We start from the raw sequence: 14,888 nt of genomic DNA, 5'->3' as shown, positions 1-14,888 counted from the left end.
TAATTCATTTATTTGCTTGCTTTAGAGAATAGATAACTGCTGGATCCTCCCTTGTTTCCTCCAAGAGCTGGGACGTTGTTGCACAAAACAACGTTCTGGTGGGATCAGCTCTTGCTCCCGGAAACCCCTTAATTCTCTCCAACACAACTACACAGCTCCTCGACTCTCTGCCTTTCCCTGCGTTGCCTATGCACAGGAATACAACATATTATGTTCTTGTCTATATTAAATCAAGTGGAAGTAGAGCTTTTATTTCTAAGACCATATTCTCTTAGTAATGAGCATAGGCCTCTGGAGAACATGGGTAGTGCCAATTGAACTCCGTTCCTGTCCTGCACTGCGCCAAGTGGACAGACTCCTTCAAAGCCCCAGAGCTCACAGCAGGCTCCTTCACCTGATACATAAAGAAACTGCCACATTGAAAGTTTGCTGAGGATGGCATGGAGCTGGGAGGACAAGTTGGATACGTCTTGTGCTTGCTAGGGGCAGAAAGAATGTGTCTTTACAGGTAGAAACAGGAGCATGGGGGATAATGGAAAGGGAGGCAAACGTGACTTCCAGGTCAAGATTGCTACGGAGGAATAAGTAGAAATGGTTGATTTTTTTCGTAAGTACATAAGGCAAAACAACTTTATGAAGAATGAGCATCAGGAGACAGGTTCAGTACATCCAGTTCCTCACCTCTGACTCCACGGGCCTCCCCTATTCTGAGAAGTGCTGACTGGCAGGAACCGATGGCTAAAGCATGATCCACTGAAACGGGAAAAGTTCCCTTATCCCCCTTGCAGGGTGTATGATGGGGTTGTGGCTTGCTTCTAGGGTGCCCCACTGCTCATACCCCTAGGGGGAGCATGCAGACGGGCAGCTTGTGGGGGGCGTGTTTGGGCTCTGGCCCCATGGCACCCTCTAGGGTTGAGTGTGTACAGCTTCCAAAGCCCTAGTGGGTGTGTGTTACAGGGCGCTCTTTTTGTTTTGCCATCTGCAGTGGCTTGTGATAGCTCAATTAGACCCTCTGCCTTATTGCAGGGACAGAGGGCTTTCTGTATTCTGGGTTTCTGCCTTAGTGTACCAGAAAAATCGGATCACACATGGGCTTGGAGAATGAGTGTGAGGTTTTATTGAGTGGTGGAAGTGGCTCTCAGCAGATGAATGGGAGCCAGAAGAGGGCTGGAGTGGGAAGGTGGTCTTCCCCTGGAGTCAGGCTGCTCAGCAGCCGGACTCTCCTCTGACCACCCTCAGCCAAATTTCCCTCGGCGTCCACATCGTTCTGAAAACAGAAATGCCTGTTCTCACCTAGGTCTGTGGGCACAGGCCGGAGGGTGGAGCCTTTGCCAGGGACCCTGCCTTTCTCTACCCAGCACTTGCGAGCCCCCCTCCCATATCACCACTATGACTCTGTCCTCATCCCTGACCAGGGAACCTGCCTCTGCTGTAGTGAGGAAGATGCACTGGAAGCCGATGCTGCTGCCATAAATGGTCAGGAGTCTCTCGACTCCCAAACGTTTCACCTCTTGACTGCTTCCTGCGATGTTCAGGCTGTATTTCCTTCTACCTTATTACTGATCATATAAGTAAACCTCATTGGATTATAGTCATTTCTGGGAAAATGAGAAACTTTGGGTAAACTTCCATTAGTTATTCTTGTAAGCCTATCTTAGAAGAATTATAAGGGCCTGGTAGGCCTGATAAAAGAAACTTCAAAATTACACTTGGCATATTCAAAGTCTAAGTGACAGGACGAAGCCCACGAGGATATCAAAAGGGAGCTCTAATAATTTGGAGGTTCTGAAGCCATGGGGGCGAGCCTGATTCAGCTAGCCTTTTCCAGAGAATCCAGCTATCCACCTGTATGAAGGCCTATCATAATGATGAAAATAGAAGCGATAATTTAATTTTGCACTTGCATAGCTCTCCTAATTTTCTCAACACGCGTTCACATCTGTGATCCTCTTCTTAGTCTCAAAAGGGCCCTAAAGAGAGCAGGAAGCATTTGATGACCTCATGTTATAGGTAAAAAATCTGAGCCCCTAGGGGTTAGACTAGTTGACTTCTACTGTCTTTTCCAAATCTATCATCTGTGATTCTATGAGTTTAAATAAACTTTCCAATTTTTCCTAGTAAGTAAAGGGCAAAGACGTCAAGCATAAACCATGCCCAGTGTGTGCCCTGTCTGTGCACACAAATGGGGTAATTTATATGTGGTGGTTCACTGACTAATATTCCGTCCTCTTGTCTTAATTTTGATGGATTGCATGCTACTAACTGGAAGCCTGTAGTGCACACTGGAAATCTGGAGTAGCCCTGATTGTGGAATCGCTTACATAACCTGTGACGCGCACTTCTCAGTGAAATCAGCTTTTTACTTTTTCAGCATCTCTCAGGAATTTTTATTATCCGAATAAAATTTTAGACTGACCCCCAAGGGAAAATTAAAAAAAAAAACACCTTTATCTTATTTCTCGTTTGTTCCCATACCTCCCAAATGGCTTTAAAATGTTTAGGTATCCAATTGGAGGCAACTAGTCCGAAACAGAATTCATGTCGTAAACAGAGCTAAAAATGAGATAGTTAAAATTCACGTCCTACCTTACTTCTCTGGAAAAGGCTGGGTGTTATTCATTTCCCTGCTATTTCTAAAGTACAGAACTAAAGTATAGGATTGGTAGCAGCTATGGCAAAACATGCTCTATTTTGAGCATGGTGAAATGCAGAATTCACACGGCCCAGCAGAAGCTGGGGAGCATGGCAGACACAAGTTGGAATTCCAGCTCGGCCTGCCTGTGCCGTCAGGAGCAAATCCCACTACCGGGTGTCACACACCGGGTTTCATGTGAACAAGGACAAGGAAACCGCACTATTTTTTGCAGCACAGTCACGTTGTAAATATAAAGGACTCGGAGATCTTTCTATATTTATGGCAAACACTCTTCCCAGTCAACAGAGAAAATAAAGGGCTGAGGAAGCATAGAGGGAACTGGCCAAGGGAGAGACAGCAAATCACCAGAAATTGTCGAGAGCAAAGCTCAGAAATTTGATTTGCTCCAGGTGAGATTTCCATGGCTTTGCCTGTCTGGGAGACTCCCCACCTGGTGCCTCCAAGTGCATGTGGCTGTGTGGCTGTGACCACGGTTCTCAGTAAGATGATCAGCGGTGTGTTTGTCTCAGGCCACAACTAGATTGTGAGTCAGTGGAGATCAGCAAGCGAGGCATAGGCATTCCCTGTGTTCTGTGAGGCTCAGGATGCTGGCATGGTGTGTTCACATTTTGGTTACACTGAATGGAGTGGGACTTCTATTATATTCAATCCAAACAAAAACGTAGTTCAAATTAAGATTCTGGGTGATATATATATATATAAAACTTAAAATATATATACACACATATGTATATGTGTGTGTGTGTGTGTGTATATATATATATATGAACAAATTTTATTTAAGGATTTATAAGATCAGTAGGATCTCATGTTGTGTTACCTGAAAAGGTAAAATGTTCACTCCGATGTTTTCGCAGGCTCAGTAGCAGGAACTACTCCAGACTTCATATAACTTACGTACATGTCTTTACCGGACTTCACAAGTACAGTAGACACCATCTCCCACCTTATCCAAGGTTTCACTTTCCATGGTTTCAGTTACCCCTGGGCACCTATGATCTGAAAATATTAAGGAATTTTGAGAGAGATAGAGAGCACGCTCACATAACTTTTATGACAGTATGTTGTTATAATTGTTCTATTTTATTATGAGTTATTGTTGTTAATCTCCTGTTGTGCCTTATTTATAAATTAAACTAGATCATAGACAGATATGTATAAGAAGAAACATAGCATACACAGGATTTGTTGCTATCCATGGTTTCAGGCATCCGTTGGATGTCTTGACATGTATCCCATGTGGATAAGTGGGGACTACTGTATCTTTTCTTACCTGGTATTGTTCTAGCATGAATATGAGTAGAAATTAACCTTCTAAAACTTGGGCTGTCATTATAAACACACGGAGCAGTGCTGGGTGAAAGGAGGCTGCCTTCTGTGCTCCACAGATAATGGTGAAGGCAGCCAAGAAACTGCACCGTATTTGGTTTATCTCACAGCACTGGACATGCTTTGCACATAGATTTCCGTGAAGTTTATCTATCAGTAAGATGAGATTAATCAGGTAGAAGTATCTGACATCATCACGTAAGTAATTCTGTGCCACTTGAAAATTTTTGCAAAAATACATTTTTGAATAAGTATACAAATTTGTTTGTATGTGGCTAAGTGCATATTTAAGAAATCACCTTGGAATCCTTAGCTTTTGAAAATAGTGTAACTCCATGAAATGTTTCATTTCTGCACCAATGATTTGTAGCTAGATGTGGCGGGACTGTAATAAGTAGTTCTGAGAGGAAAGATTTAGGAGCTTTAGGAACCTTATCCGTCTTAGCGTCTCTTCATTTATATATCAGTATACTTTTTATTAGACTATATATTTTTATGTCATTTAAAACATCATAATCAATTAAGTAATTAAAAGATGGTATGAGACAGGTGATATTTGCACAGATAGTGAATCTACAAATGGAGACTGAGCAATTACTGGGTGCAGAGGCATAAAGATCTCTCTCGAATGGGAATGAGTGTCTAAGGGGAAATCGAATATCCTTCTTGTTCTGTTGATTTTTCCTACAAAGGAACTGTTTACCAGAAAAAGCATCTGGATTCAATTGCCTTTTCATTCATCATAGACCACTGATGGAATCTGGAACCACTTATGGCCTCACGGTCTGTAAGTGGCACTTAGAGTATGGACAGGAAATAAGAATGACAAAAAGTGTCTCCTGCACAGTTCTCAGGAAATTCTCTTGGGTCTTTATTCATACCTCAAAATATCCACTTACCTTGAAGCAAATAAGAAGCAATACAGACTTGCAAGTTAAGAAGTAATGAATTGGATTGACAATGAAATCGTTCGTTACCAAACACCAAAATCCAGGATTTTTTGAAATGTAATTTCACAGCTCTAGGTTCAGGGGAAGGGATGAACGCATTAAATCGTAAACACTTCACACTGGAAGTTGCTCTCAGCCAGGTCAAGAAAACCCTGTGCCACACCCCGTGGCCTGGTTTTACTCCCCACACTGCAAGACAACACATTTTATCTTTTGAATACCACAACCGGAATTCGTAAATCCTTCTTTATCCTGATTTGATCTTTTTCTCCACCTAACTCCTTAACCCTGAAAAAGGTCCAATATGTTACTGTTCCGTGTAACATTCTTAATGCCTAACACTATTTACACATAACTTTCCATACGTCCTCAACATTCTTTCTTATTTAAAGTGACTTCCAAACCCATGAACATTGCAGACTCCCTCTTGGGCACGATCAATGGACCTCCTTAGACCCTCAGGACCTCTGAGTTGAGAACAAAACTCCATATATGGCCTGGCCAGAGCCACATAGAGTGGAGACCACCTTCCATTTCTGGAGACTGGTCTTTGTCTGATCATCCTAAACTTGTTTGAGAGAACCCTCCTCCTAGCAATCACATTACATTGGTTCATACCAGACTGAAACACCTAAAACGCCTGGCCAGCCTTCTCTCATAAGGATATGTGCTTATCCGGGTATTATTCAAAGATGCTTCTCAGGGCGGTAGATCGATGGGTGCTAATTTCAGCCAACAGGTGTTCACATCCAAACCAGAAGTTCAAAAATACCTACCTCAAGGGACATTTGATGATATAAGACTTGATCTTAGGAGAATTTCAGACAGGTTTTTCTTTCTGATTTTTTATTCTTTAGGTTTGGGAGTAGGGCAGCTGTAGCTGTGCACAGTTGCCAGTTGAACGCTGTGTAAGAGGCAAGAAGGACTGAAGTGCAGCCCATTCCGCTCTCAGCAAAACCTCTGCTGGCCTGGGGTTGCTTCTGCCTTTCCCTAATTTGTACATCGGGGCTTTTATAAACTATCAGTGACTCTGATAGCAGGACATGCTGCAATTCAGAAAAGTATAGATAAACCTCAAAAAATACCTCAAAGTAAGATATGATCATCAAAAAAATAAATAGTACTGAAATGCATAAAACAAAATACAGGAACACCCTCTCTCCCCCTCTCCCCATCCCTCTGATTTCCACACGGAACAGCCACTTCCAAGCCTCTTATTTCTGCTGTTTCAGAAATTTATTTTCTTTTTCCTAGATAATACATCACTATTTTGTGAATAATTACTTTGTTTCTTTAGACGTTGTCTATTGAGCGCCTGTTACGGAACAGGGAACCAAATTCTCGCAGCAGTTCCTCCCCGATCCTCACGTTTTACACACCTTTGTGGACTCTGTGTGATGAGATCATGATTATTGGCTAAAGCTGTGGTGTTAGTTATTTGGTCCCTGTAATTATCTCTCAAGCCTGAGCCAAATAGGGTACTTGGATTCCATTTTTCTCTCTTGTACAACTTGTCTTTTCCCTGCAATTAGTATTAGTCTTGTTTCTTCATGTGCTTAGTTTTTTAGTTATACCTATTTTTTTCCAAATGCTGTCACAGATCTGTCCCAGAACTGACAGTAGAGTTTCCAACCGTATTCCAAACATGTTTTAAAGCATGCCATCAGCTCCATGAGCTTTCACCTGCAGCGTCTGCCCTACCACCCACCTGGGTTACACCTGTTGCACACCTGTCACACACTTATTGTGCTGGAACCTCCTGTCACCCTCCTTCTGGGAAGCTCCTTTGCTGCTCCCAGTATCTCATGCTTTCCCTTTGTTAAGACTAGATTGAAAATCTATCCTACCACAACATGTTCAACCAGTACAGAATTCCAGGTGAAAATCATATTTCATTTGAATTCTTGTCATTTTGTTACACTGTGTCCTACTGTCCAACAATGCTGTTAAGAAATAGAACAGCATTATTCTTCCCTTTTCTTCCTGCTGGCTGCTTTCCCTCTCTGGGCACTCTTGGGTTCTGTTTTGGATCCCTGCCGATAATGAGCTTCACAGGAACGTTCCTTGGGCCAGTCTCCTTCCATCCATTGCCCCAGTGTGTGCTGTGCCATTGAACATGAGACTCCTGGACTTCAGCCCTAGGTGATTTTCCTGTGTTACTTCTTTAATAATTTCTTTTCCTCAGTTGCTTTTTTTTCTGTCCTGAATTAATCCTCAAAGTTTCTTATTTTTTCTGTCCTTTTGCTGGTTTTGTTCTATTTTCTGGGGAATTTCTTCAATTTTATACTTCCAACTATTGGTTTTTAAAATTTGTAATATTCCATTTTCAATTTCCAAAACCCCTATATTGTTCTTCACTTGCTTCTTTTATAACATTCTTTTATTTTAACATGAATGCAATATCTTTTCTTTTTCCTCTGAGAATATTATAGTTTTAACAACTTTTTTTTCCTCCCTGTATGGTCTCTTTCCAAGTTTCCTTTTACTGTTTATTATTTTAGCCTCAGTCATTCTTGTTGGAAGCTTTCCTTGGTTATCTTGTTATCCTTAGCCATTCTTTCCTATGTAAGAGCAAGGCACTAAAATGCAGATTGGAAACTATGGTGAGGGGTGGAGGGATGACTCCCTAAACTTCAATAACTGCAGGTCTTTTCTTTTGTACAGTTCAGCTTCTCCAGGAAACACTCTCCTGTGTCTCGTCCGGGGGGAAAAGGTGGGGGTTCGGGTATATACACACAAGCCTGCATTCTAGGAACAGGAAGAGAGCAGGGAGGTTGGGGCAATCAGTGGGGGAGAGGAGTGCTTCACAGTCAGATATGTTGATTCTCATTGCATCCTGTTCTATCTAGACCCTTGTCCGTTCACTACACACAGTGTGTCTGAGTCCAGAGTCCCTCTGGTTTAGTTTCTCTAAAGCATAAACCCTTTGTTTCTTCTGGGGATTTGGGACAGTGTGTTATAAACAAAATTTATTTTCATCTATTTATGATAATGTATTTTTTCAAGAATTTTCTTTTAGTGCTCGCTCTAGCAGCACATTTACTAAAATTGGAACTACACAGAGATTAACCAGGTCCCTGCACAAGGATGACATGCAAATTCATGAAGTATGACACATTTTTAAAAATAACTTGAAATGGACCACTATGCAACTCTTAGAAGAAAACATAGGAAAAAAGCATCAAGACTTTGAATTTGGGAATTTGATATGATATCAAAAGCACAGGCAACAAAAGAAAACAATAAGGTGGATTTTATCAAAATTAAAAACTTTTGTGCATCAAAGGACACAATCAACAGAGTGAGAAGGTAACCCACGGAACGGGAGAAAATATTTATGAGTCATATAACTGATAAGGGATTGTTATGCAGCTTATGCAAAGAATTCCTGCAACTCAACGACCACAAAAAAACCCCAGACATCCTGATTCAGAATGGGCAAAGGACTTGAGTAGATGTTTCTCCAGAGAAGATATACAGATGGCCAGCAAGCACATGAATAGGAGCTCGACATCCCCAGACATTACCACTCCCCACCCATGAGGATGGCTGTGATTGAAACAAAACAATAAATAAAAGACAGACAAACTGGAACCCTTGTGCATTGCTGGTGGGAATGTAAAACAGTGCAACCATCGCAGGAAACAGTTGCCAATTCCTCAAGAGATTAAACATAGAATTACGGAATAATCCAGCAATTCCATTTCTGGATATATACTCAAAAGAAATGAAGGCAGGATTTCAAAATGACATTTATACACTTTTTTTTTTTTGAGACGGAGTCTCTCTCTGTAGCCCAGGCTGGAATGCAGTGGCATGATCTAGGCTCACTACAACCTCCGCCTCCCAGGTTCAAGCAATTCTCCTGTCTCCGCTTCCCGAGTAGCTTGGATTACAGGCACAAGCCACCACGCCCAGCTAATTTTTGTAGTAGAAACAGGGTTTCATCATATTGGTCAGGCTGGTCTCAAACTCCTGACTTCAGGTGATCCACCCACTTTGCCTCCCAAAATGCTGGGATTAGAGGCGTGAGCCACTGTGCCTGGCCTGTACACATTTTTATAGCAGCATTATGACAAAAGCCCAGAGGTAGAAGCAAGTCAAGTGTCCCTCAGTGGAGGAGTGGATATACAGATTGTAGTGTGTCCATCCAGTGAAATATTACTAAGCCTTAAAAAGGAAGACAATTCTGACACAGGCTACAACATGGATGAATCTTGAGAACATTGTGCTAAGTGAAATAAATCAGTCACATAAAAAACAAATACTGTGCATTCCACTTCCATGACGCACCTAGAGAAGTCAATTGTATAGAAACAGAAGGCAGAATAGTGGTTTTCAGAAAATGAGGGGAGAGGAATGGGAAATTAGTGTTTAATAGGGACACAGTTTCCATTTTGCAAGACGAAAAGTGTTCTGGAGATGGACGGTGGTGACGGCTGATCAGTGTGAAGGTACTTAATGCCACAGTCTAAAATGCTTACAATGATGAATTTTATGTATGTTCTTACCATGATTTTAAAAGTAATTTTCTTTAAAAATCAAGAATAGCCATTGCAAATAAAAGATTTTGGTTCTTAGACATCTCATTCCATTTAGACACTCAGAGCCATCCTTAGTTCCTCCTCTCCCTTGCTTTTCTTCATAACAGAATTCTCTTGATCCACACCCATGACCCCTTTTTCCTAAATGTGGGGGGAAAATAAAGTTCTTCCATTCTTCTCCAGGGCTTTACACCCTTAATCCTTCATCCAAATGTTGTCATCACTCTGCTCTTCTCAAACAGGCTCGTTTCTCCAGTATTCCATTGAAACTGCTCCCAAGTCACTGATGGTGCTAATCATTAACTCCAATATCTTTTTCTTAGAACAAATCCTTTAAAGCATGCTTACAGCAAATGATACCACTGCCTCTGCCTTCCTATTAGAAGATAAGGTGTGCAGTCAGTTTCAGATCCTTCACATTGGATCCCACTTCCTTGGGAGGCCCAGGCAGCTTGCATTTAATCCTGAAGTGTCCTCTCTGCATGGCCCTGCAGTATGCATGGGCGAGTTAGAGAAGAAAAGAGAGGAAGATGCTGTAAAGCAATCATACTGTGCGTTCATCAGCAAATCAATTATGAGTCAATAATTTGTGAATTTTGTGGAGACTCGGAACCCAGAGCTCCTTGTCTTAGCACCCAGAAGGCCTCTCACTCCAAGAGCAGAGACCTCTGTAGCTGGGGCCGGGGTTTGAGCCCTGGCACCTGGGCTTCATCCAGTCTGCAAGGCAGAACACACTCTGAGGCGGTCTTTCTCTCAGAACAGCTCCGTTCTAATTGTTTATCCTCAACGTGTAAGGGGCACTTTAGTGCAGGAGCCGGAGGGGAGGCTTCCGTGGGCAAAAAGCCTGCATTCACTATTACAGAAAGCTCCCAGGCAGGGTATAAATAAGAAGAGGAGACCTGACTGTCTGGTAGGACAGAATAAAGCTGAGGAGAAAGTAATGTGCAGTAACATTCGTGATGCCACAGGAGAGGACACACAGACGGGAAATTAGGGTCTAACCCCTGCCTTCTGACCACGGTGCCCGGAAGAGGGACGTCCCCCTACTGTCGAGTGATTGAGGGTCCTTTGCTTTCTATGCAGCAGGTAACATGCTGTCTTCTTTCCTGGACAAACCACCTGATCCATTATCCATGCACTAGCCCCTCACACACTGAGAGAGTCTGTGTGTGTGCGCACGTGTGTTCACGTGTGTGCATGTGTACATGCATGTGCATGGGTGCGTGTCTCCCTTCACCTCTCCCTCCTCCTTCTCCCCTTCATTCCCTTGGAATCTATTACTTCCCTACAGGTTCCTTTGGGGGAATGTGGTCTTTTCGCCGACCCAAAACACAGCATTCCTGGAACCTGCTGGATGGTCGATTTGGGGAAAATAAAAAATCTAAATACAACATTGGCTCGAATTTATATAATGCTCAGCTGACGCACACACCACTTCTGTTGGCTGATTTTTGAGTGCGTGGACAGCGTATGGTTCTAGGACTAATGTTTTTTATCTTATTATTAAACATTTTTAAATCCTGATTTTCATCTGTATAAAAATATGATTGTTTATCCCAGACCTGTGTGTCACCTGTATGTCCCTAAGCCTCGCCACCTGCTGCGAGTGAATGAGGGCGCAGGCCCGTCTGGGTGCACAGCCCGCATGAGTGTAAGCAGCGCCGGCCGCACCTGGTCACTGAGCCCTGCTGCACTGCAGCGTCCCTCGGGGGTTCTCGGGCGGCCGTCCCTGCAGGCTGAGCCAATACTCTACCCTCGCGGCCCGTGGGTTCCTGCCCAGGCACTCCTGCCCTGCTCTGTGCACCCAGAGCTCTCAGTTCACACCGGGTCTTTGTGCTCCTCAGGGCTTTGCGGAGAGCAAGGGAACAACCCACTGAGGGGGTTCTACTTGCCCTGGGCTGGGGAAGGGGGTGCTCCCCAGTGGTGGAGCCTCAGACCATTGTCCCCAGGTTCAACAGGTTCTTCTGTCGCTGTGGGTTGGGACTGGGCCACAATCCGCCACCACTTTGTCCACTGAACAGTCACTCTCCTCCTGCCTGAGACTCTGGGGGTGCATCCACTGGCTGCACAGACTCCTGTTTCTTTAGGGCAGGGATTCATGGATTTTTATCTTCTTTGCAATTTGGTTCCTGTTTCCCTGACTGAAACTCACTCCTTGGCACCCTCCAGGCTCTAACCCTGGGACACCCCTGTGGATGGGCTGCGAATGGGGTTGCTGTGCCTGGATTCGAGTAGGGGGATCCCCTCCCCTGGCTGCCCCAGCCCAGCCCCTGGGGTTGCCACATCACCTACCAGCCTTGAATTTATTTTGATCTGCAGCTGAGTGTCGATCTCTGTCTATTCCTCTTATTTTGGAAAGAAAGCTTGGCTTTGGTGTTTAGATTCAGAAATCATTCTGATGTACGGAAATGTGACAGAGTGTACATGATCAGACTCACAGGACTGGCGGCCTGGAGGTTCACAAACGGCAAACCTGTGACTCCTGTTCCCCGCTTTCCCCACAGAGGGCAGGAGTGGCTACGGCACGCCACCCCCTCTGCAGGCTCCCATCGGGTCAAGGGTGGGCGTCAGTAGGAAATCCTGACTGCCCACGCAGAGCTTGGTTCTGTGTATGAGGCATGAACACTGAGCTGCCCAGTGGTACCCAGGAGTTTCCAAATGCAGATACGCAATAGGGGACCCCTGCCATTTGGTTGGTTTTGGTTTTTGTTTCCACACAACTCTAATTACTCAGAATGTTGTGGTGGTCATGGTTTCCTGGGCACATTCATGTATTAGAGCTCACACAGCTGCCCTCCCTATACATGGGCAGTGTATGCATCAACCACACCTCAGTAAGGCAGGCTTAAAGTATTTTGTAATGTGTGACATGTGTTTCAATCCAAAATACTTATGACATATCAAAAATCTTCCGCAGCAATAAAGCGCTCTAATTGCTATACATAGGACTTAGAAATTATTTATAATTGACTGTCATATAATCTTTCATTTCAAACTTCTGTGACCTCAGTTTTCTTCTGTTAATAATGTACCAAGTGTAAGAATAGAGATACAGAGATCTGCAAACACCAGTTGATAATTACACTCAGACACACTACACACAGAAGTCCTGTTTCTCTCCTGATAGAGAGGACTGGATCGAACATTTTTTAGAAAGCATCGGTGTTTGCGGTAGGTCTGGTCTTCTTTCCTCCAATGATCTTCTTTGTCGTCAAACCTTATCTGTCAGCCACCCTCCCTCCTCTCCTGGTCCCAAGCCCTTGCTGCCACGCACACAGGCCAGCTCTTCTGAGCATCTTGTGGGGTAGTTCCCAATCTAATAATCCTCTGTAGTGCAAGCAAGCTTCCCGACACACTTGTGAAAACGGACAATGCTAAGCCCCACATGCCACTGTCTAACTGGGAATTAAATCTTACGTCACTTCTGAAGGTAGTTGCTTTATTTCTCCTAGTCACTGGTCACTCCCTATGGAAACAAGCATACTCTTTATGCATGGTAATTGGGAAAATTTCCCCAGTCATTCCTTCATTTACTTGTGTAAATTCACACTGCAGGTGCCCTGGAGGTGTGAGTTCTGCTAGAAGGGAGGGATTCCCCAGAGTCTGAACCCCACGGGCACTCGTGATCTGCTCCTTTGTGGTTTTACTGCAAGGCTGGGACCCTGAGGGTGTAGGTCTAGAAAGCAGTTCTCAAGCCTCGCTGACTTTGAGTTCACGTGTGCGGCACTCTCTCTTTGTAATGACCAAGGCCGTGGCAATTCGCACTGGATGACTGAAACAGGGCCTGAGCCCATCCTTGCCTCACTAGAAAGTATTTCAGATTGCAAAGAGGAGATAAAAATCTACAGTGTATTTTTAAAGGAAGTTAAAACGGGCCGGGTGCGGTGGCTCATGCCTGTAATCCCAGCACTCTGGGAGGCCGAGGCAGGCAGATCACGAGGTCAGGAGATCGAGACCATCCTGGCTAACACGGTGAAGCTCCGTCTCTACTAAAAAATACAAAAAATAAGCCGGGCGTGGTGGCGGGCGCCTGTAGTCCCAGATGCTCCGGAGGCTGAGGCAGCAGAATGGCGTGAACCCGGGAGGCAGAGCTTGCAGTGAGCCGAGATCGCGCCGCTGCACTCCAGCCTGGGCGACAGAGCGAGACTCCACCTCAAAAAAAAAAAAAAAAAAAAAAAAAAGAAAGAAAGTTGAAACGTTCCTCATGCTTTGGCATTTTAGTTCATGTTTATTGTAACAAATTACTTTCAACAGCAGAAAAGCTGAATTTGCAAACTGATCCAGGCCGCTTTGGTGTTTCACAACCAACAAGTTCTTAATGGAAGATGCCAGGGGCCCAGCAGTTAGAGCTGAGCAAACAGCACAGAGCCCTGTTCCTGTAACCTGCCTCCCAGGGGTACCTTATAGTTGAAGGAAGTCTCAGACGAGCCCCACAGCACATGCACACATCAGGAGGGGAGCAGGCAGCAAGCCGCACATCACGTGTTGTAGATTTGATGAGTAGCCTACTCTTCGGGCATTCGGCTAATCACTTTTCATGAAACGGTCCTTCAAGGCAAGTCAGGATCATCCTGGTAGCAGTGTCCAATTAACCTCTGAGTCCCACTGATGTCACACCCCTCCAGGCACAGCTCCCAGTGCTGGAAAGCATCGTAGAACCCTTTTCCTCCTCCACACCACTACGGTGGAGCCCAGAACCCTCCAGCCCGTGCCCCTTCCTTGATGTCCACTCACTTCACCACTGAAAAACCACACGGACATCCATTCTGCTTGTTACAAACCTTCCAGGGCCCATCAGCAATAAAGACCAGTGAGGAATTCACAGTGGCCACCTGTGGGGTCCAAGAGTTGGATGTTTCTTTCAAATATTAAACACTTGTGAAGTATGTCACTGATCAGGTTGCCCCAGTCACCAATCACCCCTAGGATGCAGAATAAAACCAACCAACACACTCCTACATCCCGCTGTTTATGCTAAAGCATTTTACACTAAGGTACAGACAATATAACACAGGCATGACTGCCACAAAAATGCATTTGAGGTTCGCTGGTCTGACGAGTGAATTAGCACAGTTCCTGGGTTGTTCTGAACAGGCTTGTGCCTGAGCTGAACGTAGCTCAGCAGGTATTAAAGGGGCTTCCTGAGTCTCACTTTTCATCTTCGTTTCTTCTCTTACCTTCATCTCATTGACCCTACCAAGACACACACTCACATTCCTCAGCGTTTGGGCCTGGCTGGAGGATCTAGAAAGCGCAGGCTGAACTAACTGAACTAAAATCCCCTCAAGAAAACCTCCAAATGGAGAGTGACTTAAGGCCCTCTCCAGACAGCTAACTCGCAGAGTCCACCAGACAAGACCAGAAGCAGGGTGTTCTAGCTAACATGAATTTCTGGTCTCCGTGGCTCTG

The 14,888-nt window shown here is 44.4% G+C and overlaps 1 protein-coding gene and 1 pseudogene across 3 annotated transcripts in view; both read left to right on the top strand.

The window, feature by feature from the left end:
• PDE10A (phosphodiesterase 10A) overlaps positions 1 to 14,888 on the top strand; it is a 660,764-nt gene that overhangs the window by 261,761 nt on the left and 384,115 nt on the right. The gene's annotated exons all lie outside the window — the stretch shown is intronic.
• Positions 7,954 to 8,057, top strand: RNU6-730P (RNA, U6 small nuclear 730, pseudogene; annotated as a pseudogene).

Source organism: Homo sapiens, chromosome 6 (genome assembly GCF_000001405.40).
Source record: "Homo sapiens chromosome 6, GRCh38.p14 Primary Assembly".
NCBI lineage: Eukaryota > Metazoa > Chordata > Mammalia > Primates > Hominidae > Homo > Homo sapiens.
This window is presented reverse-complemented; position numbering and strand designations above follow the sequence as displayed.